The sequence below is a fragment of the Homo sapiens genome, chromosome 6, assembly GCF_000001405.40.
Source record: "Homo sapiens chromosome 6, GRCh38.p14 Primary Assembly".
Lineage (NCBI taxonomy): Eukaryota > Metazoa > Chordata > Mammalia > Primates > Hominidae > Homo > Homo sapiens.
The window spans coordinates 130,860,493-130,884,296 of NC_000006.12; the positions used below are offsets into that span (position 1 = coordinate 130,860,493).

Sequence of the window (23,804 nt, forward strand, 5' to 3'; positions counted from 1 at the left end):
TGAGAAAACATCACATCTTACTGCCAAATTTTATTTTTATTTTTATTTTTATTTTTTTGAGACGGAGTCTCGCTCTGTCGCCCAGGCTGGAGTGCAGTGGCGCGATCTCGGCTCACTGCAAGCTCCGCCTCCCGGGTTCACACCATTCTCCTGCCTCAGCCTCCCGAATAGCTGCGACTACAGGCGCCTGCCACTGCGCCCGGCTAATTTTTTTTCTATTTTTAGTAGAGACGGGGTTTCATCGTGTTAGCCAGGATGGTCTCGATCTCCTGACCTCATGATCTGCCCGCCTCGGCCTCCCAAAGTGCTGGGATTACAGGCTTGAGCCACCGCGCCCGGCTCTTACTGCCAAATTGAGCAATTATTTCTTAGAAAGAAATACACTCTGAAGAGACACTGCAGTGTATTTTACCTCTCCTTGGTATGGAGCTGAAAGTATCATGACCAGCACAGGGTGAAGAATCTGCAAAGCAAGTTTCTGTAAAAGCATGCCTCTTTGATTTGCCAACACAAAAAAGATTTCTTGTTTTCTGTCTGGCCCAGTGAAAGTGTCCTTCCATTTTAAGATGCCTTTTTTATTTTTAATTTTTTTAATTTTGAGATGGAATCTTGCTCTGTCGCCCAGGCTGGAGTGCAGTGGCGCCATCTCCGCTCACTGTAAGCTCTGCCTCCCAGGTTCACACCATTCTCCTGCCTCAGCCTCCCAAGTAGCTGCAACTACAGGTGCCCGCCACTACACCCGGCTAATTTTTTGTATTTTTAGTAGAGACAGGGTTTCGCTGTGTTAGCCAGGATGGTCTCCATCTCCTGACCTCGTGATCTGCCCACCTCGGCCTCCCAAAGTGCTGAGATTACAGGCGTGAGCCACCGCCCCCAGCCTGAAGATTCCTTTTAACGTAGGCAAGGAACTGAAAAAGATGTCAATGTTATGAAGGTCACTCTATGATCAACATCGGATTTTGACAGCAAAGCGATTTCATCATTTAATTTAAAGTAGCTCTGTCATCTCATTACAGGCTTAAAGGAGAAAGTGAACCCCCAACAGCTTCTGGTGACAAGCAGACCAAAAGCCACAATCACATTTACTCAAAAATGTTGGCCAGGTGTGGTAGCTCACGACTGTAATCCCAGCACTTTGGGATGCCGAGGAGTGTGGATAACCTGAGGTCAGGAGTTCGAGACCAGCCTGGCCAACACAGTGAAACCCCATCTCTACTAAAAACACAAAAACTAGCCGGGCGTGGTGGCGGGTGCCTATAATCCCAGCTACTCAGGAGGCTGAGGCAGGAGAATCACTTGAACCCAGGAGGCAGAGGTTGCAGTGAGTCCAGATCGTGCCACTGCACTCCAGTCTGGGCACCAGAGGGAGACTCCATCTCCCCAAAAAAAAAAAAAAAGTTTATGCTATCTCACAAACATAAAAAGGCAAAATCTCTGTTCTCTTCATTTGGATATCTGACCTCAGTTTTAGAAAGGGCTGAAACATGACATCATATACAAAAAAGGAGATTACTGTCCTTGCAACAGCAGCAGTTAAGGCTGCTGGGTCATCATGATTTTTTAAGAGTCAGGTGTATATGTTATTTTGGCACTTGTATTTCAGATTGTGTTTTTAATATTTGCCTTTCAGAAGCAGTACTATCTAGATTTGAATTTTGGGGTAAAACAGGCCAAAATATTCTTTTGCCTTTTATAACAAAATTATTTTGGCTTTTGTTATAAAAGGCAAAACAATACACATAAGTAAAACCTGAGTACTGGAAAGGTGGCATTTTAAAGTGTGTAAAGGGCCTAGGTTCAATGGGGAGAGGGGGGTGGAAGAAACAATGGCTGGGAGAAGACCCTAGTTTGCACTTTCCACCATGCCAAAAAATGTGAGCTTGTGCTTCACATATTCTAGGAATTCAATGAGTGCTTATTGAGAAGAGTCCCAGAGAGAAAGAAGCAGGTTTACTCCAATTTCTCAGGCGAAACTCAAGACTGTTCCAGTGGATAGTAGAATAAATCCCCTCTGGAAAACTGGAGGCTTGTTTCCACATAAGTCACTCATTTTCCCATGGTAAGCAGACAAGTGTACTAATGCTCTCTAGGAATCTCCAGTCCTATGTCCTATGTCAAAATCCAGAGTCAAGGCAACCTTTTAACCTCTAATAACTCTTAAGAAAATTTTAAAAGTACATTACGAATATGTAAGTCAAATCATACTTACAAAGGTCAAAAAAATTGGGAGTAATTTTCTTCTTAGGCATGAAAAATCCATTTATCTCTGATCACATATAGGCTGCCTTTCTCAAATGAGGAATTTTGTTCTCTAAAATTTTCTTTCCTGAGCTCAGTATTGTGTCCAAAGCTGTGTAACTATCGTTAGCTCCTACTCCCCAGCTGAGATAGTCAATTGAATATTTCTTTTCCTTTTCTTCAAGTTGTTATAAAAGGAAAACAGCTTGGTCTCCTTTAAAGCTGAGTTAAAATCACTTTTAAAAAAATTGTCAGCATCACTTGGGACTGCAGTCTAAAATTAAAACTGCTCTCAAAGTCTCCAGCAGTTCCATTCATCACCTGCTCAAAGCCATGCATGCTGCCAAATTTAACATTAGAATGGAGGCATGATTCTTTTAAAAAATTTTCAGAATCAATGTAAATTTTCACTTTGTAAGAAACCTTGTATTACCTCCCCTCCCCCAATAATCGCAATAGGAGAAAACACCTGGAAGTAAATAGCTCAACTTTTCTAATGCCATAAATATACTTGAAAAGTTCCTAAAAGTAGGCATAGGTCAAGCTTAGTGGCTTTCTTCATTTTTTGGAAACTGGTGCATTGAACTGCCATTCATTTTTAAATATTTGATCACTTGCCTTTAAACCAGGCCCACACGAATCTTATGTTTTCCAGAAATCCTCCAGATTACGTTGACCCAAAAGTGCATGTAAAGCCAGTGGGAAATAAAGAGAAATCTGTGTTTTATTCTGATTCAGAGGTAGGAAAGCTTGTATCCAGGCTGTGTCTTTATGTCCTGCTTAGGAGGTGGACTTCATCCAGGAGGTTTGGGGAGAAGAGGTTTACACAGGTATGCGACATGATGACAAATGTGAAACTTAGAAAACAAACAGGGCCATTTCCAAAACTAGAACTTAACTTATTTACCTGGTCATGATCAATATCTCCATCTCCTGTGATCACAATGCGTTTCTCAATTCTTGTTTCAGAAATTCCACCTTTTACAGTCTAAAGGTCATAAAGGAGAAGAAGAAAAAACAGCAATCACTGAAGCACGTTTACACAGTCAGAGCAAACAGAGATGGGAGTCCACCTAGACCTGTGGATCATTGTAAGGCCACACACAACAAGCAGCAAAAGACTGATATTCTAGAAACACTTTGTGCTTTATTTTTAGGCTCAATAGAGAATCCTATTACTAAAGTTATAGCATCCACAAGTATCCCTCAGCTGAGAGCAACCTTAAAACTCATTTATCAATATTCAAGATGGCATCTGTCCCATCTTAATCTCACTTGATTAAGATAGGACAGATATTATTTAATCCAAGTAGTTCCTTTAAGGGAATTCTGTTATAGTTTCCCGAGTTTCTTTACTCCTAGCTGGCCAATTTTTAAAAAGGAGAGTAGGGAGAAATCAGTTACTTGCAGAATTACAAGAAATTATAAGAATTTAGGTATCTGTTTTTGGTTTGAGAAACTGTTTGATGTGATATATATTTTTTTCCCATCACAGAAGACTTCTGTATGATGTGATGGTTTTGACTGATGGATTCTGAGCATACAAATTTATTTGCTGATTTTGTTTATTGCATTTAGTGCAATAATTTTAAAAAGGATTTGCTTTGGTTTCAGATACGGAAGATGGATGAGATTTTTGTTGAATGTTTGATTTGATGACACCCTGCGTAAGTAGTCATACACGTAGACATGGCGCATGGCTAGACAAAGGCTGCGAGCGGGGCTGGAGGAGGGAGCTCCTGGGGGAACTGCCTCACAGCGTTATGGGCTCCGTACAAGCTGCGAGTGCCTGGGGCACACTGGATGAGGCTGAGGAGATCATCTGGCTGTGACCTTCTAAACAGTCAATAAGCAAATACCACACGGTCCTGGGAAAGCGCACATCCAACATTTACAACTCTGATAAATGTACACTCTCAGTCACAAGTGACAGCATTTTACCATAACAAACCAGGCTTATCACTATGCTTAATAACTGGATATGCTTTAAAATGAGCACCAACAGTACCTTGCATTTATGCGGCATTTTTAAATTTACAAATTACTTTTGCTGTTTTTTAAATTGTTGTTGAAACATGGGTTGGGAAGGGCACAAGGGACACCTTTAAGACCTTTAGACACTTATCCAAAGTAAAAAACAGAAGAAGGAAATAGTGGAAAATAAGGCTGGAGTTAGAAAGCTGATGACTTCAGCATGCATCAGAATCACTGGAAGCTTCTTAAGACAATTCTAAGGTTTCAGGAGGACTGGAGTGGGGCCACGCTATTTATACTTCTAACAATGCCCCGGGTGAAGCTGATGCTGCTGATCCAGGGATGACTGGTTACCCAGTGCTAAACATTTAGAGAATTATGCAGGGAGGAACAGGGGAATGCCCCAAATCAGTATACTAGCGATCTTAAATGAGGGAAATTCTACATTATTTGAACAACTTGCTGAAAATTCTGAATGATGGCCTTCATTCATTCGCTTTAGTCAGGAGGGCTGGTTTAATAAAAGTAGAAGCACAAGTTTGTTTTTATAAATTATAAATTTTATTAAATTATTTATGGTTTTGTAGCTATCTTACATATAGCTATTCGTAACATATTTTTACCCCCTTGTACTTCACAAAATTGCAATTTGGCTTGAATGCATTTGTCAATGGAGCCTAATTTCTTGGATACTTTAAACCAAGGCATTTTGATTCCGCTGGCACTGTCTGTATCTTACTTGGAAGTGTGTACAGGAAGAGAGAAACAATTCAGAAAAGATTCTGTCTGTAATGTACCATCCTCTCCATATGATCCCCTGCATTGCTTTACCTTGGTGATGTGTGTGGTTGTCGTTGTTGACACGGACTCAGATGTGATGGTTTGTGCGGTCAGTAACGTGCCCGAATCACCACCAGCCCCGCCATCAATCTTTGGATAGTTGGGGGAAAAATACAAAGTAATGCTTAACTTCTGTTATGTTGTCAGAGAAGATCCCCGCCCCATCGAATATGCATCTTTTAAAATCCATGTGGTTTGCGTGTTTGCAGTAGTAATTACCATCCAGGAGAGCGGCTGGTATTTGAAACCGAGTAGAGGCAAAAGGCTAGGTGCACATGGAGAAGCAAACTCAACTGTGTGAGTGGAGAAAAGAGAGGAGAATGGACATAGTAGGTGGGACTGAAAGCTACAAGGGAATTATGACAGAATTTGTCTGAAGGACTTTTGCACAAGCTAGAAAATGAAACTAGAGAGCCAGGCAGAGAAGTTTCCACAGTGACCAGAAGCGCTGAGTTTGTTGTTTTTTAAGCACAGGTGGGTAAAAATAGATAAACATTTTATCAAATTACCAAGCAACAGAACCTGACCAGGACAAACTGAATCTGCATGATTTGGTTATCTGCTTACCTCTAGCGATTGTTTTCATCAACTACATTGTTCCTGTAATAGTTTGCATGTTGTGAGCATATATACGGGCACATATATTTCAATACTGCACATACGCATGTGCTCCTACATATATATAAATCCCATACATATGTTAAAATAGATTTTAACTTGTTTGCTTTGATATTGAAAGATGCAGAAGATTCTAGAGTTTCCAAGGGGAATCAATGAAGCAAATTAATAGCCTAACAGTTTATGTTAAGATCACGAAACATATTTGCCCTCTGTTTCCTGACACTGACACGAGGAAATAACTGGACGGTCCAGAGCCTTTCTGACTGTAAGAGGAAATCTCTTTCAAACTTGGGTCATGCACCTGTATGTCTTCATTCTGGCAACTTATCACAGCACAGACACATCACTAATGCTCCCCCGCCAAGCTGTTCATAAGAAACCTATTTGTGCTTATGTGGGATCAAGGCACACACAAGGATGCCATATCCAAAATAATTTTCAGATGTGTTTCACACATGCATGCATTAAACCTTTTAAAAAATATTCTGAGAGGTCAATAACCTGACATCCTCCACCATGATACAATTCTACCACAGAAGGTTCATCTTCTAAGTGGAGAAAATATTTATTTTATATTCTATTTTGAAATCATGAATGCTTTATCTTTTTTTGTTATTCTTAAGGTTAAACATCTTAATGCTTATTCCAAATCTTTACAGAACCAATGTGTGAAAACCTAAAATCAAACACACAAATCTGATAATTATTTAGACACATGGTATCACCATTCACATATGAATGACTACATAGGTCTTTAGAAAATAATTCCACACGAAGGAGAAGCACAGGTGTGTGTGCCTGTGTGTGTTTGTGTGTGTGTGTGTGTGTATGTGTGTTATTACAAGCAAGAATGAGTTGATTGGGTCAATCTTCACGGAGTTAGAGAGGGAAAGAAGCCTAAATCACATCCACAATTAGATCGGATTATTATTAATCGATGAATTATATCAGATAAACTTTGCAAGACAATTTGTTTCCTAAGTGTACACAAACATTCTTAGATATGTCAACTCAGAAATGGCTTTCAATCATATGAACAAGATTGATACTGTCTGTCCTAAATAATCATATGTACAGTTCCCCTATAATTACTGGGTTACCAATTTAATTGCAGCTCTCTGTCTCAATCTAAGAGAACATAGCAAATTATGTTGTTGAAGTACACTTACAAAGTGCAGATACAAAAAGCTACATCAAAGCCAGAAACATGTAAACTAAGAGAAGAAAGAATGAAAACATAGATACACTAAGGGAAAAAAGAGCTCGAACAGTCCAAGTCTAGAGCTTTTGTACCTGTGGAGACTCATATGTGATGGTTTTGGTCTCAGTTTGGACAATGGGGACTTCCTTGGTGGAGATTTCTGTCCTTTGTGAGGCATCAGAAATTGTTACCATCTCTGTTTTTACCACTGGTGGCTGAGGTGGAAAAGGAAGGGAAAAATAAATTCTAGAGGTAATAAAGTAAAAGTGTTTAATGGAACCTTCACAAATAATAGTAAGAAACATATCCAAACACACACTCATGCACAAAAGAAAAGAGTAAAAGCAAACAACCTAAAACAAACAAAAGAAATAAAAGAAAAATTTTCCTTCAAATATATCATATATACACATACATACATGTGCACATAGATACGTACATATATATGAATGTGTGTATGTGTACATACACATATATGAAAAATAAGTTGACATGATGGCTTCCTAAATTATGTTACTCTTTAAATTAAGATGGTCCCAAACTACTTTTATGTCAAGCCTAGTGTATAGTGACACACACACACACACACACACACACACACACACACTCTCTCTCTCTCTCTCTCTCTCTCTCCTCCTCCCTCCTTAGCTTTGGGCAAGTAATAATAAATTGAAAAGAAAATAGAATGAACTATGTGAAGTGACTTGTCTCTATTTTTATTATAATTTAAAGGACCACATAGTTTGTGTGAAGGCTCACTGCCTTTAACTGGCATGCCAGCTAGGTAGGCTAAGATTTGTTCTTCTGCCCACAATACCTTTTCTGCCTTATTGTTAACAGACACACCATTTTCAGAAAGGATGTCTTCAAGTATTACTGTTTTCAGTTATACCTGTCTAAAATTTGCAGTGTTTCTTCTGTATTACCTAAGTTAAAATGCTCTATCTAAAATTACTCCATCAATGTTACACCAATGCTTTGAACAATTTAAAACATTAAAGGAAATATTCAACGGCTTATTAACATTTTAGTCTGCCGAGTATGCATGCTTAATATTAATGCAACACCAGACTATACTACTACCAAAATACTGCAGTACTTTCTTTGAGAGAACATTCTCAACAGGCATAATTATTTAAAGAGGAGTAACGATATGTTAAATACAGAATAGTTCAAAGTGTTCAAAGACTCTTGAAAAATCTTCTCTAAAGTGAAACAGAAGTTTAAAAGTAACATGGTTAAAATCCACTTAATTATTTTAAGACAAAGTCACTTCAACATTTTCCATCCCATCGAAGAGAACAAAATAAATCTCTGTACTGTGGGCATTTAATATTAAAATCAAGAAATATTCCCAAGGAAATAAACCCTCCCTCAGCCTAACTCCCAAATGAGAGACACTGCACTTAGTGACCAAAAAGTTCTCTTCTTTGAAAAGAAAAAGATTCATGTCCAATGTATAGATAATCCACAAAACATATAATCATCTGGCAAATACTCCAGAATTGACATCAGGATAGAATGAGAAGCGAGGATATCCTCCTATCAAATAGCCTAGCCTCTGGCTGCCTGGAAGAAAAGAAAGGCTCTTAACAAAACCATACAACCCCTGCAATCCCAAAACAGAAATCACAGTGGCATTCAAGAAATAACATTCTCATCACTGCTGGATACTGCATTCAGAGAACCACGGTAATCAGAGACTGCTGTCATTTCTAAAACTCTGAAGCTGAAGAATGAGCCAAGAAGTCAAACCCAATCATGACATCAGGGGCACACACACTCAGCAGTGACCATTTTTTTTTTCAACATTACATATACATTTTTCTAATTAAACCAAAAGGGGAAAAAAAGGCATTTAGTGTGAGGAAGCAGTGCAACTGAAGACAAAACAGTTGAAAACACCCAAAACATGCAAAGAAAAATTTAAATGTGAAAAGGGAAGGAAAAATTGATGTGGTGCTTCTAGGAAAGTTTACCCTACAGGTGTCCAGTGGCCGCAGAGAAGCTGGAACCCATGAACTGGGCGGGCAGAAAATCCACAAAGCAGTGCTTCCCCCTTCCTCCCATGAGAGAGAAAAATCAGATTCTTGTTGAAAAAAGCTGAAGAACTGGGAGGACAGGAGAAGAAAGGCAGGAGTTCCCCATCTGAGAAGCAGCTCTAGAGTTTGGCTCCCACCTGGGACTCCCATTTACCTCTGAACAACAAATAATTTGTGGCAAAACATCAATGTCAACATGGGACACCTCTCCGTTAACTTTCTGTGGCTCTTCCTCTGCTTCTTCTCCCATGTCTTGCTTAAGAGCGCCTTCGTGTACACTCTTCTCTCCGGGTATCTTTTGGGCACCTACATTTTCCTGGATCACTGTTTCTACTGTGATTACACTGGCACCTGCTTGTGTGACTGGGCTGGCTTCGGGCACTGCTTCCTCCCTCTCTACTACCTTGGCTGCCGGGCGGGGTTCTTCCTCCACCTCTTCTTCATACTCCTGTTCCTCCCTGATGGTGCCCTCGGTCACTCGGTGGTGGGGACGGTACTCTCCCACGTCTTCCTCCTCACTCTCACTGCTGCTGCTGCTGCTCTCAGAAGACAGGGAGGTGGAGTCTTTTTGTGTCACAGGCTCCACCTTACGAATCTCCCCAGGACCACTCCCAGGTGATATCTCTTTACCATTCATTTCTTCTGTGATTACTCTTTCGTCTTTCCCAACCTCTGCCCGCTTCTTCTCCTCCACTATATTCAGAGTCTCATGTGAACTCTGTACAAAAAAAGATGGATGAGGGAAAACAAAAATATATGAATAAATAAAAACAACGGAAACCCAAATTAACCGATGGCAGATTCATGTCATGGAGAAAAACAAAGATGATTATGATGGCTGACTGAAAGGGAAGCGGGGCAAACGTGAGGGCAATGAGAAACGTGAGGCAATGGTGTTAACATGGAAAAAGGGGAGAACCTTAACAGCATCCCTGGCTCCAGTGCAAGGCCCTTCTGACTCGGGAGCACGTGTCTGCAGAACAAAAAGCAACCGAGGACACAAAATCAATACAGTTTTACCTCAACAACCACTGAAACAAACATCTGACACTGCAAAGACAAAACAGCAAGAATCAACATCTACAGAAACCTCTGCTCAAGGTCACATAGAGGACAATCAAGACAAATGCCAAAAAGCTTACAAAAAGACACAAAAACAGCCAGCATCCTCCCAAAGAAGTAAAATGCTTTTATTATAGATATACCTATAAGCTCTACCTATGTAGTTAAAACAGTTTACAAAAATTGAATTATACCAAAGCTGACTCATCATTTTAAAGAAAAAAATTTAACTTTTAAAACCTAGTAACAGTTTTGGTTTTAATCAGACTATAAAGTCTAGCCTGGAACGCTGATTCTTAAATGAACACAGCACCAAGGAGATGGCACTTTTATTTTTTGCTGGTTTTCTTTAAAAAAAAAAAAAAAGTTTTAATTGGCAAAATTATAGTTAGCCTCAGAAGGCTATTAACATGAAAATGTTCATTCCAGAAATGGTTATTAACTTTCCAATTCGTATCATAGGTTGGCAAAGGCTATATTATACAATAGGGTGGGTGTCAATGGTGACTCCAAGTGTTTCCTTTTACAATTTAGCTCCTCTACTAGCATCTTTGAAATCTAAACTCAGTCAAGTTTATTATTTGACATGTTCACTCCTATCCCCTTCAGACATCTACTTCTTGGGAGTAAAGTAATTTACTCCAGTTGAGTAATATAGCACCTAAATGTTCAATAAATATCTGTTGACTTAATACATTAGGAACAAATTACTATGTTATGATATTATTAACTAGGGTGGAAACCTTTTTGTACAGAGGGGTTTTTAAAGCTTCACATTTTTCTCACACTTACAAAAAGTCTGCTTTACAATGATATAACTCAAGCATGGCCAACTTTTTGACTTCTAGGTGGTACTACTGCCTATGATCTAACTTAAAAATAATTCAGCTAGAGCCAGGAGCCCTATTTATTCACGAAAGTGACTCCATTCTGGATGGAGAAGGGCACCACACCACTGAGCCCTCTGGATATTGTTGTGAAGCTGCCAAGGTACTAACTGGACTGGAGCCTCTAATAGACAGCAGGGCTGAGTTCATCTCTCCCAGACACTTGGACAACCATGAGCTGAAGATCCTAACATCACACACACACGTCTCTGCAGCACTGTCAACGTCTACTCACAAACTCTCTTGGACCTGCCCTATTATTCTTAAACACATGGTAAGGGCATGGTTTCATTGACCCAAATTAATACCATGTAAATCACATTACTAACAGAAGACAGCTATCTTTCCAGTTTTATTGAAAACTCAGAGGTTTCTAGATATTAAACTGAAAAAACTCTCAATCTATTTTGATAAGCAGGTAAAATTTAACCATGACTACATATAATAAACATATCCAGTGACCAGAACATTTCTGAAACACACATTTCATTATTATTATAGATCAGTGAATTATTATTATTGTTATATCTTAACCTCAATTAGCTGGATAGGTTCTGCCCAAGTTCAGGGAATTCCTTAGGGTCATTCAAAAGCAATTATGTCATGGAGCATGGGAGGCACTTCAGATTTTTTCCATATAAACAGAATTTTAAAAATAACATGCCATCAGAGGATGCCTGAAATTTGGGGTTTTGAAAATGTCAACTCTGCAAAGCATATCTGGTTGAGGGTTTCCCTCTGCTTAACAGCCCAGACTCTGGAACTTAATGATTTAAATTATTCTCTGAATTTAGGCAGATTTTTTTTTTCTTTGACCAAAGAAGCAGGAGAAACATCCAATCTATATCTTTTCTTCATGTTCCAATTCAGTCATTGTTTCTTGAATGTTTCTCCCAGGAAGAATTAATTTCACCAATGAAAGCACTGGAGGGAATGGTGCCTGAATATTTAAAAAAATGAAAATCTCTCTCATATGTGGCTTTTAGTAACAGGGGAAACAAAGTAAAATGCACCTCAAGCAAGTGTGAGAAGGGCGAGGAAGAAAGCTTTTCAGAAGGTGCATTAGCGCTCACAACAGCGCCCTCTGCTGTCCAAGTGGTGGCTGAAGTGAAGGTGGCTTTCATGCTATCAGAAAAGCCCTTTTCACTAAACAAAATTGATGTTATCTCCTCTTCTAGGCTCTAGAGAGGTCAGAAAAGGAAGAGCAAAGAATTAGCAATAAGTCAGAACAGACAGCAGTGACCTATTGGAAGAAAGGAAAGGTTACACAAGAAAGAACAACAGAACAGCATAAAATGAAAGAAAAGATGAGAATTCTGACAGATTCTGGAGCAGGCTTATGAAGAGGTTTGTGAGCGCCAGCTTTTCCACCCTGCTTGAGAATCTTTGATAGTTGCGACCTCCAGAAACCAGTGAAAACTGCTTGGCTGATCACCAACTGAGCACAACCGACCCACCCAAACGCCATTTCATATATTCTTGAGGTAGTTCCTTGGCCTTTCTCTGCACGGAATGGCCTCTTCAGTGGCCCCTACACTTGAAATGCTTATTCCTGTGTTACAGCTTGGGCAGTCCTCCCTCTCCTGCCTCCAAGGCCCTTCTTTGCCCTTATCTGCACATTCTGGGCCTTTCCAGTTTTCTAACCTCCCTGAGGCCCACTTCATAGTCTGCATTTTCTGTAAGGCCTTCCCTCACCACTCCAACTCCTACAATCTCCCTCCTCAATACCACCTTAACTCTCTGTACAACAAACATTCTGACAGCAGCCCACATTCATTCCCTCAGGCGTGCTAAATATGCCACAGAGTAAATTACCCTGTCCCCTTTTTTTGCAAAAAGAAACAGGTAAAGAAAAACAATTCAAAATAGGAAGACAAACTCAGAGTTGAAAGCTCAATGAGCAACGTGAAAATTATTTCTCCCTAAATTAAACCATTAAAGCAAATTTAACTTTGCTGTGTCTGGCTCTTAAACAATGGCTCCCAACCTGCCTGAGGGACAGCAGAACTGTCCTTAGAAACTTGAAATGTCAATATTCAAGAGTCATCATGAAGCACCCCCTCATGTCAGAAGTGTGAGAATAATTCCTAATAAACCCCACTATTCAGGTTTTTTTTTTTTTTTGAGACGGAGTCTCGCTCTGTCACTCAGGCTGGAGTGCAGTGTGCCGCGATCTCGGCTCACTGCAACCTCTACCTCCCAGGTTTAAGTGATTTTCCTGCCTCAGCCTCCCCAGTAGCTGGGATTATAGGCGTGCAGCACCATGCCCAGCTAATTTTTATATTTTTAGTAGAGACGGGGTTTTGCCATGTTGGCCAGGCTGGTCTCTAACTCCTGACTTCAGGTGATCTATCCTCCTCGGCCTCCCAAAGTGCTGGGAATACAGGCGTGAGCCACCGCACCCAGTCACTATTCAGAAATCTTAAAGAAAAATCAATGACGCTCCTAAGGGGCCCCTTCATACTGTGAGCTAAGAAGGGTGAGGAGCGCAGAAAGTGAGGTGAGGAGGGTGAGGGGAGTAGGCACTTGCAATATTCAGCAGAGGAAAAAGCTTTTGGACTGACTTAACTTCATTACCATCTCTATGATTACATCGTCCCTTGGGGAAGTGGGGGTGGGTGGGATGCCCTTCCCAGTGAGAGATCACTGGGGAATTTAAAGAAGTGCCACACATTTCGTTATCCAATGACATACCTTCAAAAGTACCTTACAACTCAATGTACATAATCTCTTAGACTCAGGAGAGAATAGTCTATGCAAATTTAAGTCATCATAATTCATACAACACGTTAAGAGGATTACAATAGAGTTATTTACCCATTAAAGATTAAATGACTTGGTTTCCAATTTTCTGCTCTACTCTCAAAATTGTTCAAACTACAGCCACTTTGAAAATGCAATGTATTTTTTTTTTTTAAAAAGAAACTATTCCTGCTTTTTTAAAAAGCTATAAAAGCCCATATTATAGAAATTTGGAAAAGTGGTCAAATTATATACTTATGCATAATTTTTTTATTTTACTTTCAATAAGAATTACAATTCAAAGATAAACGAGAACCCCTGCAGAATTAACAGTAAAATGAAGATACAACAAAGACAGAAATTGAAAAGGTACTCTGGTAAAGTCAAAACACTCCCGTAGACAAATGCTCACATACTTTCAACTAATAGTAGTATGTTATTTAAAGAAAAACAAAAAAGATACAATGTAGGTGGTCAATAAATGTTTGTTGGGCAAACGGATGAATGGATGATTGTAATAAGAACAATCTATATGAATGTCAAAAAAGTATGTATTTTCCTGCATGTATTGGAGAGGAAAAGAACAGAAAAACAAGTAACTTCAAGTACAGATAAACCACTTGGGGGCTTTTCCAGATTTAAATTTCACATTAACATCACTTTAATGTGACTTCTATGACAAGATATTTTACACTGTACATTCCTAAAACATGAGATCCAGAAAAATGATAATAATTTTAAACATCTCCACTAAAATGTCAAAGTTTCCTACTGCAAAAATCCAAGGACATCACTTTAAATTTGATCGAATGATACCATGTGATTGCTTCTGAAGGACAGGTTATGAAAAATACGTAATATTTCAAAGCATGTGATATTAAAGTCCTCATTATACACATGGAGTCTAATTGGCTTTGGTTTCAGGCTAACCTTTAAAGTATATAAATATGTCACTTGGTTTAGCTTCATGACATTATCTTTCTCATTTGCAATGTTCTGAAAATATTTCATCTCAACTAGACCATAAACTCCTTATTTCTACTTATTTTGCCTCCTTTCCCAACCCTGCTACGTGTTCTGATGAATACTCTCTACCAATTAACAGAATCTACTTTGTGGAAGGGAATCACTGTTTCCTTATTAATAATCTCTGTTCTCATTCACAGCCCCTATAATCTATTCCTCATCCAGTGCCAGGGGGACTTCTGTCAGAAACAGGTGGGATTCTGCCACTACTCACCTTCAAACTCTCCAATGCTTTCCCATCATTCTTATTGTACAATTCCAAACTGTTAGCATGGCCTTTAAGATCGTGACATGACCTAGGGTCTAACCTCTTTGAATTTTCCTTCCTTCGTGCTCCCCCTTGCTCACCAAGCCCCTGTCATTTGGTCTTTCAGTTCCTGTGTTGTGGCTCGTCCTTACACGTGGATACATTTTCACATGTCCACCTGGTTATCATTAAGGTTTCAACTCAAATGTCATCTCCTCCTGACCACAATGACAAAACGGTCTTCCTAATCCCCTCCTAACACAACATTGTATTTCACCTTCTTAACATTTACTTCCTAGTGTCTGAAACTTTCCAAGTACCAATTAGAAAATTTTCTAATCACCAGCCGGGTGTGGTGGCTCACGCCTGTAATCCTAGCACTTTGGGAGACCAAGAAGGGCAAATCACGTGGTCAGGAGTCAAGACCAGTCTGGTCAACATAGTGAAACCCCGTCTCAACTAAAAACACAAAAAAATTAGCCAGACTTGGTAGCAGGCACCTGTAATCCCAGCTAAACAGGAAAGTTGCTTGAACCCAGGAGATGGAGGTTGCAGTGAGCCAAGATCATGCCATTGCACTCCAGCCCGGGCGAATGTGCAAGAGTGCATCTCAAAAAAAAAAAAAAGAAGAAAGAAAAAAAAGAAACTTTTCTAATTAACTATTTCCATGTCTCCTCCACTAGACTCCAAGCTCTCCAGTCCCAGCAAATAACAGACTGACCACCTGGCTAAGTAAAATCAGTAGAAAGAGAAGAATGAGGATGTAAAAGCAATGGAAAGTGAACTTCCTCACCAGTGTCAGAAATGTCACACATGCAGGAGCAGAGAGAGAGGTGAGGGGCTGCTATGGTGCATCAAAATCTTTGTTCCCATTAAAAATCTTACAAGTGAAAACTCAAAAGGTTTCCATATGTAATTAGTAAACTCATCATCTAAGGCACATAAGTGGTTATTTTAACAACACGACATGCATAAGTATTGTACAAACAGTGCACTTTCACATGAAATCAGTTTCCCAACTGTCAGCCACATACATCAAATTAGGAATCAGTTATCACCTAAATTGGTTGATGTTTCTGTATTTCAAATTTTGACTTTTCAAGTGCTTCTGCAATATGGTATTTCTCATCCAACAATCCTATGCTTCTATACACAGGGGATTTAACTTTTTAAATGCTCAAAAATCATTTCAAAAAAATTTTAGTATGACACACAGGAAAAAAGAAATCTTATGGCTGTGGATAGAAACAAAAGGAAAGGGGGAAAAAGCAAGAGTAGATCCAAGGGTGCAAGGTGAACACCTTGTCCGTCTCCTGAGCTTTTTCTTCAACTGTCCATATTGTCGGCATCAGGTACTTCTCCTTCACGGATAAAATATCCTTGAAAAGATGGTCTCCTTTTCTCTATTGTTTTAAACAATAGACATAATCAACAAATAAGACACATACATTACACCTATAGCAACACAAACACAAAATACTGACCCAGTGTGGGTCAATGACACACACCAGGAGAAGTGGCACATAATGGAAGGTGAAAACCTTGGCATGGCATCAGACCCTTTCTCCAGAAAACACAACATTCTGGAATAGACTGCTGAAATTGACATTTTTTATCATCTTCAGAAAAATCTGAAACTAAGAACTGAAGTTGTATTCAACTTCATAAGACTCTACCAAGCATGTCTTAATATTTTCAAAAGTTCTGTGTTTCAGTTCAGCAATTCTTTTTGCTCATCTGTTCTTAAAGAGCTTTCTTTTTCAATGGCACAAACTTAGAAATTTAAAGCAACTAACAGCTTTTCTTTTTAAGGAAAGGTGAATAAAAATAGCACTAGAATATCTAAATCAATGTCTACAATTTGGCAACATTCAAGCCAGACTAGATGCTGAAAGGAAAAAGATGAAATTGTAGGGTAACATCTTTATACCATTTTTTAAACTACAGATTAAATATAGTATGATCACTGTCCGCTCAAGTATGATAAACGAGCCCATGGAAGTTCTTGGTCAATAACAGGAGGGATTTGGAAGAATCCTAGAGGCACAGATGTGGATGACAATGAATGGAGAAATGTATTGAGAATATATCCTGAAGGCAATATGTACTCATATCAGTGGTGGGGAGAAGTAAACCATGAAAAGAAATAGAGTAAGTGAGGAGAAATGTTATGATTGAAAAAACGTTTTTAAAACACAATTCTAACATTTCATTATAAGGAAGTTTCAATACTAAGTCATATTATATATAATATTTTTCAAGCTTTCAACAGGGCTCATCGGTCTTTAAAGCTAAGTTAAACTCATTTTCCTCACAGTAATAACTTTAAACCACTCTAAAGATAGCCTATATTTCTTTATTTATTAATTATTTATACTAAGTAAATGTCCCTATTTCAGATATCAGTAACTAAAAAGCTTATTAAATACAGTATGTTAGTTTCTAAATTGTCCTATATAACAATTCATTACTACAATTTACCTGAGTAAAATAGTGAAATTATCCTAAAACTATTTCAAAAGTATTTTGAAACTCATGCAATTTACCTAAGAACTAGGCCAATAACTATTACATTGTTAATATTTAGTATTTACAAAATTGTTAGTAATTACATAAAAATAATTAAATGGGAACATTTTGTAACTTCCCTAGACTCAACATAGAGATTAACAATTTAAGTTTTATTGAGCAACTGAAGTGAGACAGAGCCAACAAATAGCTAATGACATACCCCTTGTGTCTGTAGGGACAGAGGTGTGATACGTCGTTTTTCCCATTCATTAGGGCGCGGCTCAGGTGTGGATTCCATAAAATTGCGCTTGAGTTCACTAATGCTAGCCTGATGTTTCAGTATGTCCTCCTGGGCCTTATCCAGTTCCTAGCAATATGTAACGTAACAAAGGGGGGAAAAATCCAAAAGGAAAAAACCCAGTAGGACAAAAATAAAACCAAAAAATAAGACAAAGCAAACTTACGATTAAAAAAAAAACCATAGTAAAGCAAGAAAAATGCCAAGTCTCTAAAGCCATATTATTATCTATGAGTAAGTTCATGAATTCATCAAAATTTGAAAATAAAGTCAATGCGTACTTCTTCAATGATTTACATTTTAAAGGGTTCTGATTTCTTCTCTATTTAGGATTTTTAAAGGAATAATTATTTACATTATCAGAAAGATGACATGGAACTGATCATCAAAATGGCTAATAACACTTCCTTCCAGTACCTGGATTTGAAACTCAGACTATGACTTTGTTCCAGCAAATTTACCTTTCTGATTAGGACTACTCCTAAAATTGCATTCTGTGAATATAGGAAATCAAGTACAAAATAGAGGAAGGTAGAGACTCAGAAGCACACTGGCTGGAAGAAAAAGCCAGACCAGGATCAACCCCCAGCTGGAAAAGCCAAGGTTTTTTGTTTGTTTGTTTGTTTTCAGGAAATTCCAGTGATGGCTTTTAATTCTTAAGGAATAAAAATTACTGCTTCCAGAGGCTGCTTCTGTTTAGCCTCTTTATAGAATAAATAAACCACAGACTGGTCTCATGTACTTGCCAAGCACAAAAGTGGGGTCTAGCCTCCGCAACTGCCAGATCGTCCTTATACAGACAAATATACAAGAAAAACTACCAGGTCCATTTTCATGGGAGCAGGCCCTGATAAATGGTATTTGTGGAATTTTTTTCGACTGGCTCTCATAAATAGTATTTGTTTTAACCAAATTTTAAATATTTATTTATATTTCAAAAATCATAGGGCCACCTGTGGATTATAGCTTTCATCCCACTTTAAGGAACAGGTCATGCAACCAATAAAATTAGATATTCCATATTCATGCACAAGCATAGTAGCTCATCTATGAGCTTCTATAGCCATTTGCAAAAACTCATGAAAATCTAAAAATCTTTGCATGGCATGGAAAAATGACTGTGGCTTGAGATCAGGCACATTTCTTGCATTGGTTCAAAGCAATGTTACTTATTACACTGTACAGCATTTTAGTAAGTTAAGCAAAAATACATTTCCATCAGTTACCAAGCTGCCAAAAGCAACCAAACAGATTAGTCAGATTACTGAGAGCTGCAGTTCTCCATTGAATACATTGCCACATACTACTGTAAAATAAGAAGGGAAAAAAAAATGTTCTCACGTGACACGGGGAACATATTTTACACTTTACATTCATAATTGGGTGATTGGGCTTTCTTTTTCTCCTTTCCTTCTCTCTCACTTTTGCTTGTTCTTTCTAATTAAAATAATTTCTTTAATTAGCATATTCTCAAACAGAATACTGAAAGTGGACCACATTCCCAATCATGGATTTTAACCAAAAAAAACAAAAAAAGTGGGCACAGATCAAGATCAAGAGTCACATGATTTAATGCCAGATCAATAAACAAATCTCTGTTCTAGTTAATACATATTAAGGATGAGATTGTGTTACCTCAGGTTGATGCCCTAGAGTTAACCCTTTAGGAGAGAATAGGTTTACTTGTAGAACAACTTCAAGAGTACTGGATAAAAACTTGATTCATTTGACTAAACTTTTTTTTCCCACTTGTCACTTTGAGAACTTCTAGTAGATACAGTCCTGCCTAAGCCACTTGAAAGGAACACCGTCAGGCTGGTAACATGCACTCCCGAGCTGAATTCCCCCATGCACTGCATGCACCGTGCTTGAAGAACATTGCCAGCCAGCCTAGGCGTGACCTCCCGTCCACAGCAGCCGGGCAGCCATTAGGACAGAGTTGTTTTCTTAGATTATACAAACCTCCAACATTAAATTGCTATGTCTGACATAAATATTATCCCCTTCTACTCTCAAGGAATTTTTCTGTGAAATTAAATCACACACAGGGGGGAAAAGGCAAATAAACATAAGTGTATCAATCAGCAAGCACCAAAATGACCCAGAGTTCGACAGTCTAAGACATTAAAATAAAAGAGGAATACAAATCTTATGAACTTAAAGCCACAACAAACACAACTCACAAATAAACCCTGAGAGTGGACCCTCCCCACACAATACTAATGGCAGGCAGCAGTCATGAGATGTTTAACTTTAGGGAAAACTCAGCCACCTCTTCCAGCTGCGTTTCCTCTTCTTCCATCTTCGCCTGAAAAGTCACACAGCAAACGGCCAGAAAGAAGGGGAGTATTAGTGGAAACTCTACCATCAGTGCAAAGAAGCTGTATTTGAACTTAAATGGTGAACCAGTGTTACCAACCTTTACTGTGAGGCCCTCAGAAGATGCAGAATATTAAGCCTCTTTGGTCTTTCTTCACCTACAGTGTTGTACGAATGATGGAAATGATCCTTTGCAAAGGTGGAATGGAGGATGGAAGCTTCACTCTTTCTCAGTCCCTAGATTATGCTCTGCTTTTGAATATTTTGTACTCAGGAACAAGAATATGAGAGTGCAAAAATGGCATAATTCAATCTGTTCTAATTTGAAATGTCTAAAGCAACTAGTGATGGGGTAAAGTATAATGATGTAAAATTCGTTTTTAGCTTTATATTGGGGAACAAATGTTCAACCTATGATTCAGTTTGTTAAATATGGATTTCTTTTCTGGCTGGGGGAGGGGGATTGGCTTATTTAACTAGTTTCATATTAAAATGGTGGGTATTTAAAAATAATCTTTGAAATATAACCACTTACATAAAATTCTTTAAATAAGAACAGTTTTTCATAGTTGGACATTTCTCAATATCTGATGATTCAAAAGAATGAATGTAGAAGTTTAAAACTAACAAATACTGACTGAATTTTGACTCAAGGGAAAAAATGGTGAGAATAAAAATATTGACTCCCTTATCAAAGGCAAATCATTTAACCTTTATAGGTTAATTCCTAATATATATCCTTTTCCTTCTTAATTAGGATGATAGTGTCAAATCTGAGAGTTCAAACGGCTTACCTTTTTAACCATTCATAGTATTTTTCAGAGGTAAGCAAGGAGCTCAGAGTCTTTATCAGATGTGAAAAATGAGACACAGACATTCAATAATCTGTTAAGAAACATCTTCCAACTCCTTGGTCAACATTTAATTCCCTAAAATGTTGATCTTTGACATTCCTCAGGTAAACTTTTAACAATTGTCCTACAATGCATACTCACTGCAATTATCTTTACATTTTTCTTTAGGTTTGCTCTAAATTTTGTGATTTACTGTATGTATTGGTAGGATCCATAGAATATGAGGCACTAAATCACCAGGCCACATTTAACAAAATAATCAAAAATATATTGTACATGTTAATGCTGACTTAGTAGCACAGAGGTAGGATACTTGAAAAAAATTTGCCTTATATAGGGGTAAAAATCCTCAAACCAAACACCTAATTTTAAATAAAGGAGCACTATGAGGCCCAATCTTAGTGTTATATAGTCTAAATTTTCAAAAAGCCATGTTTCACTTTTCACATACATTTGTTAAAGACAACAGAATAGTACCTTCCTTATAAAATACCCTATAGTGACTCTTATATATAATTACATAATTTAAGGTTAGAAAAAAAAACTAGCTAAAATTCATCTGGTCTCCAAATACTACAATAATAGGGAGATAAGGAGCTTTTGAGATTAGACTTACAAATGTCAGGAGTAAAGGTTACAGATACATCCTCATAGATGCTAGAACACACTTGGGTTTCCAACAAGAGAAATAACAGTACTAAGGAATTCTACTAATATACATCAGGAACAGTTATGTCCACTGCATCCTAAATTCTATATCAAAACAAAAAGATGTCATCCTAAAGGAACAGCATTAATATCTGTTTGCAAAATGGAGAGACCCTGTATGGATTGTTACGGGCAATACAGGTTCCCTCCTCCTTCCCTCCTCCCCCACACCTTCTGTTACAAATCTACTTTGATCTAGATATTTGTAAAATAATCCTACAATTTCGCTCCTAACTTAGAATGTGTGGAACTGGTCAATGGTATCAATGAAGGAGAAGTGTCTACACTTATTTCTCATGCACTAAAATATTGTGTGTGTGAAAATGTGCAGGTACTACTATGTTGAGGGTAATCAGTGGTGAAATGTATGCACACATTTACACTCTATATTAGGAAGGGTTTAAGATAAAGTGTATTGTGTTGACTCCACAAACTGAGCTTACGTAGGCATGCCAGCAACTACTTCCTCTTCCTCGAGCTTGTCATTCAAGTCACAGTCATAAGAAACATTAAAGGAGGCGGCTTTAGCCTCCAGATAGCAGAGGGATAGAGCCAGAGGAAGGGAAAAGGCAAGAGAAAAAGGAACTGACTGAGAAGCAGACAGAAGTAGCCCAAAGATGAGGATAAGGGAAGGAATGAATGAAGGGGAGGTGATTGGGACATAGTGCTGCACACCAGCGGGGAGGAAGGAGACCCAGACCTTGGGGAGGCTGGGGAAAGCAAGATATCCATCTTCATCAAGAAGGGAGGGGAAGCCGGAGGGAAAACATTTGGAGAAACTGAAGGAGAAGTAACCAAACTCAGAATCACTGTCGTCAGCTGCTTTAAGAGTCTTCCCATGGATGGGAGAAGGACAGTCAGGCTGAGAAGGGGCTATGGCAGAATCCAAGACCAAATCAGGCATAGCAACTTCAGAATCCCCCTGCTCCGATATTTCACCTGTGGAAAGGTGCTCTAAGCTGTCTAGTGTGATCTGGTCAGCCTCCCCAAAGGGGTCTTCCTCTGAAATGTCTGAAAGCAAGTCCATTTCAGGGACAGGCAATAGGTTTGGGGAAAAAGATGAAGTACGGTGGATGAGAGGTGAAGGTGGGCACATGGAAACAGTCTATTCTCAAGTGCAAACCCATGATTGAATATGAAATTACACAACAGATACAATCAAAGGAAAAACAGATGCAAGAGAGAAAGAGGACAAAAGAAAAAATGAGTAGTTAGTGAAAACGTTTACTTTAAAGGAGGGACCATATTAACACAGTGTAGTTAGAAATGAATTAAATGACCCATTTTTAAAGAGAAAAGACTAGACTACTTGTGTCACATAAAATTTATACATATGACTCATTTAATTATTTTCAAACTAGTTGCAAATAGATCCCATGAAACTCAAACAGCATTATTTACTTTTAAACCTGGTTGCTGACAGACATTCAAAGCATTAGCAAAAATGCCAGTGTACCCAGTTGTTCACCGCAGACAAGGAGGATTTCCTTTGAAATTTAAAAGAACTTTTTCATTTTTTAAGGAAAATAACTAGATATGTCAAGTTAACTAGGCAAAATGGAACAGAGATATTCTGAAATGCTGAGCTCTTCTGTTTCAGATGTAAGCAGTCACTCTCCTGGGTGCCTTGTTAGCAAAATTTTTAAAGAACTATCCTGACAACTTGTCAGCAATTGAAAGAAACCTTGTTGGTCACAATTTCTGTTATTTTTATCTGAATTCCCCACCAAATAATTTTTCCATATGACAGTCACAAATTCTTTAACGATGGAATGTCGATGATTTGATGTCACTTGCTATACAGGTAGCACTTGACCTTGTGGCACAAGACTGGGCCCATGTGGTGGTCCCTGAGACCTTCTCCATGCTGGGCCTCAGAGGCTATCAGTGTAGGAATTCCTGAGGCACTGGCAGCTACTTCATCTAGCATGTCTTTATACATTTATGTCTTTTAAAAATTTTCAAAGTTAAAATTTAGAAAACACTATACGGCCGGGCTCAGTGGCTCATACCTGTAATCCCAGCACTTTGGGAAGCTGAGGCAGGTGGATCACTTGAGGTCAGGAGTTCAAGATGAGCCTGACCAACACGGTGAAACCCCGTCTCTCTAAAAATACAAAATTAGCCGGGCACGTGGTGGCAGGCGCCTGTAATCCCAGCTACTTGGGAGGCTGAGGCAGGAGAATCACTTGAACCTGGGAGGCAGAGGCTGCAGTGAGCTGAGATCGAGCCAT

The 23,804-nt window shown here is 38.6% G+C and overlaps 1 protein-coding gene across 23 annotated transcripts in view, besides 3 other annotated features; it reads right to left on the reverse strand.

The window, feature by feature from the left end:
• The window catches only part of EPB41L2 (erythrocyte membrane protein band 4.1 like 2), a 223,899-nt gene that overhangs the window by 21,146 nt on the left and 178,949 nt on the right, over nt 1–23,804 (reverse strand). For 4 of the 23 annotated variants that reach the window (NM_001350308.2, NM_001199388.3, NM_001350309.1 and 1 more), the window contains exons 13-16: nt 9,320–9,634; nt 6,967–7,089; nt 5,044–5,142; nt 3,146–3,226 (exon numbers count right to left, since the gene is read on the reverse strand). In NM_001350308.2, the coding sequence (NP_001337237.1) occupies nt 3,146–3,226; nt 5,044–5,142; nt 6,967–7,089; nt 9,320–9,634 (618 nt within the window). Of the gene's footprint in view, nt 1–3,145; nt 3,227–5,043; nt 5,143–6,966; nt 7,090–9,070; nt 9,635–9,835; nt 9,890–16,181; nt 16,284–17,611; nt 17,759–19,651; nt 19,715–23,804 lie in introns of all 23 variants that reach the window. The other 19 variants (NM_001350304.2, NM_001350320.2, NM_001350305.2 and 16 more) reach the window with 9 other exon arrangements.
• Nucleotides 3,057–3,351: an enhancer, noted in NCBI's record as "tiled region #2744; HepG2 Activating DNase matched - State 5:Enh". NCBI's record gives its function as "activates a minimal TATA promoter and a strong SV40 promoter by Sharpr-MPRA in HepG2 cells {active_cell/tissue: HepG2}" and the evidence as "EXISTENCE:reporter gene assay evidence [ECO:0000049][PMID:27701403]".
• Nucleotides 16,371–16,540: an enhancer, noted in NCBI's record as "experimental_89712 CRE fragment used in MPRA reporter constructs". NCBI's record gives its function as "activates a minimal promoter by MPRAs in K562 erythroleukemia cells, with activity observed for the introgressed 6:131198088 variant allele {active_cell/tissue: K562}" and the evidence as "EXISTENCE:reporter gene assay evidence [ECO:0000049][PMID:34662402]".
• Nucleotides 18,313–18,482: an enhancer, noted in NCBI's record as "experimental_89717 CRE fragment used in MPRA reporter constructs". NCBI's record gives its function as "activates a minimal promoter by MPRAs in K562 erythroleukemia cells, with activity observed for the introgressed 6:131200030 variant allele {active_cell/tissue: K562}" and the evidence as "EXISTENCE:reporter gene assay evidence [ECO:0000049][PMID:34662402]".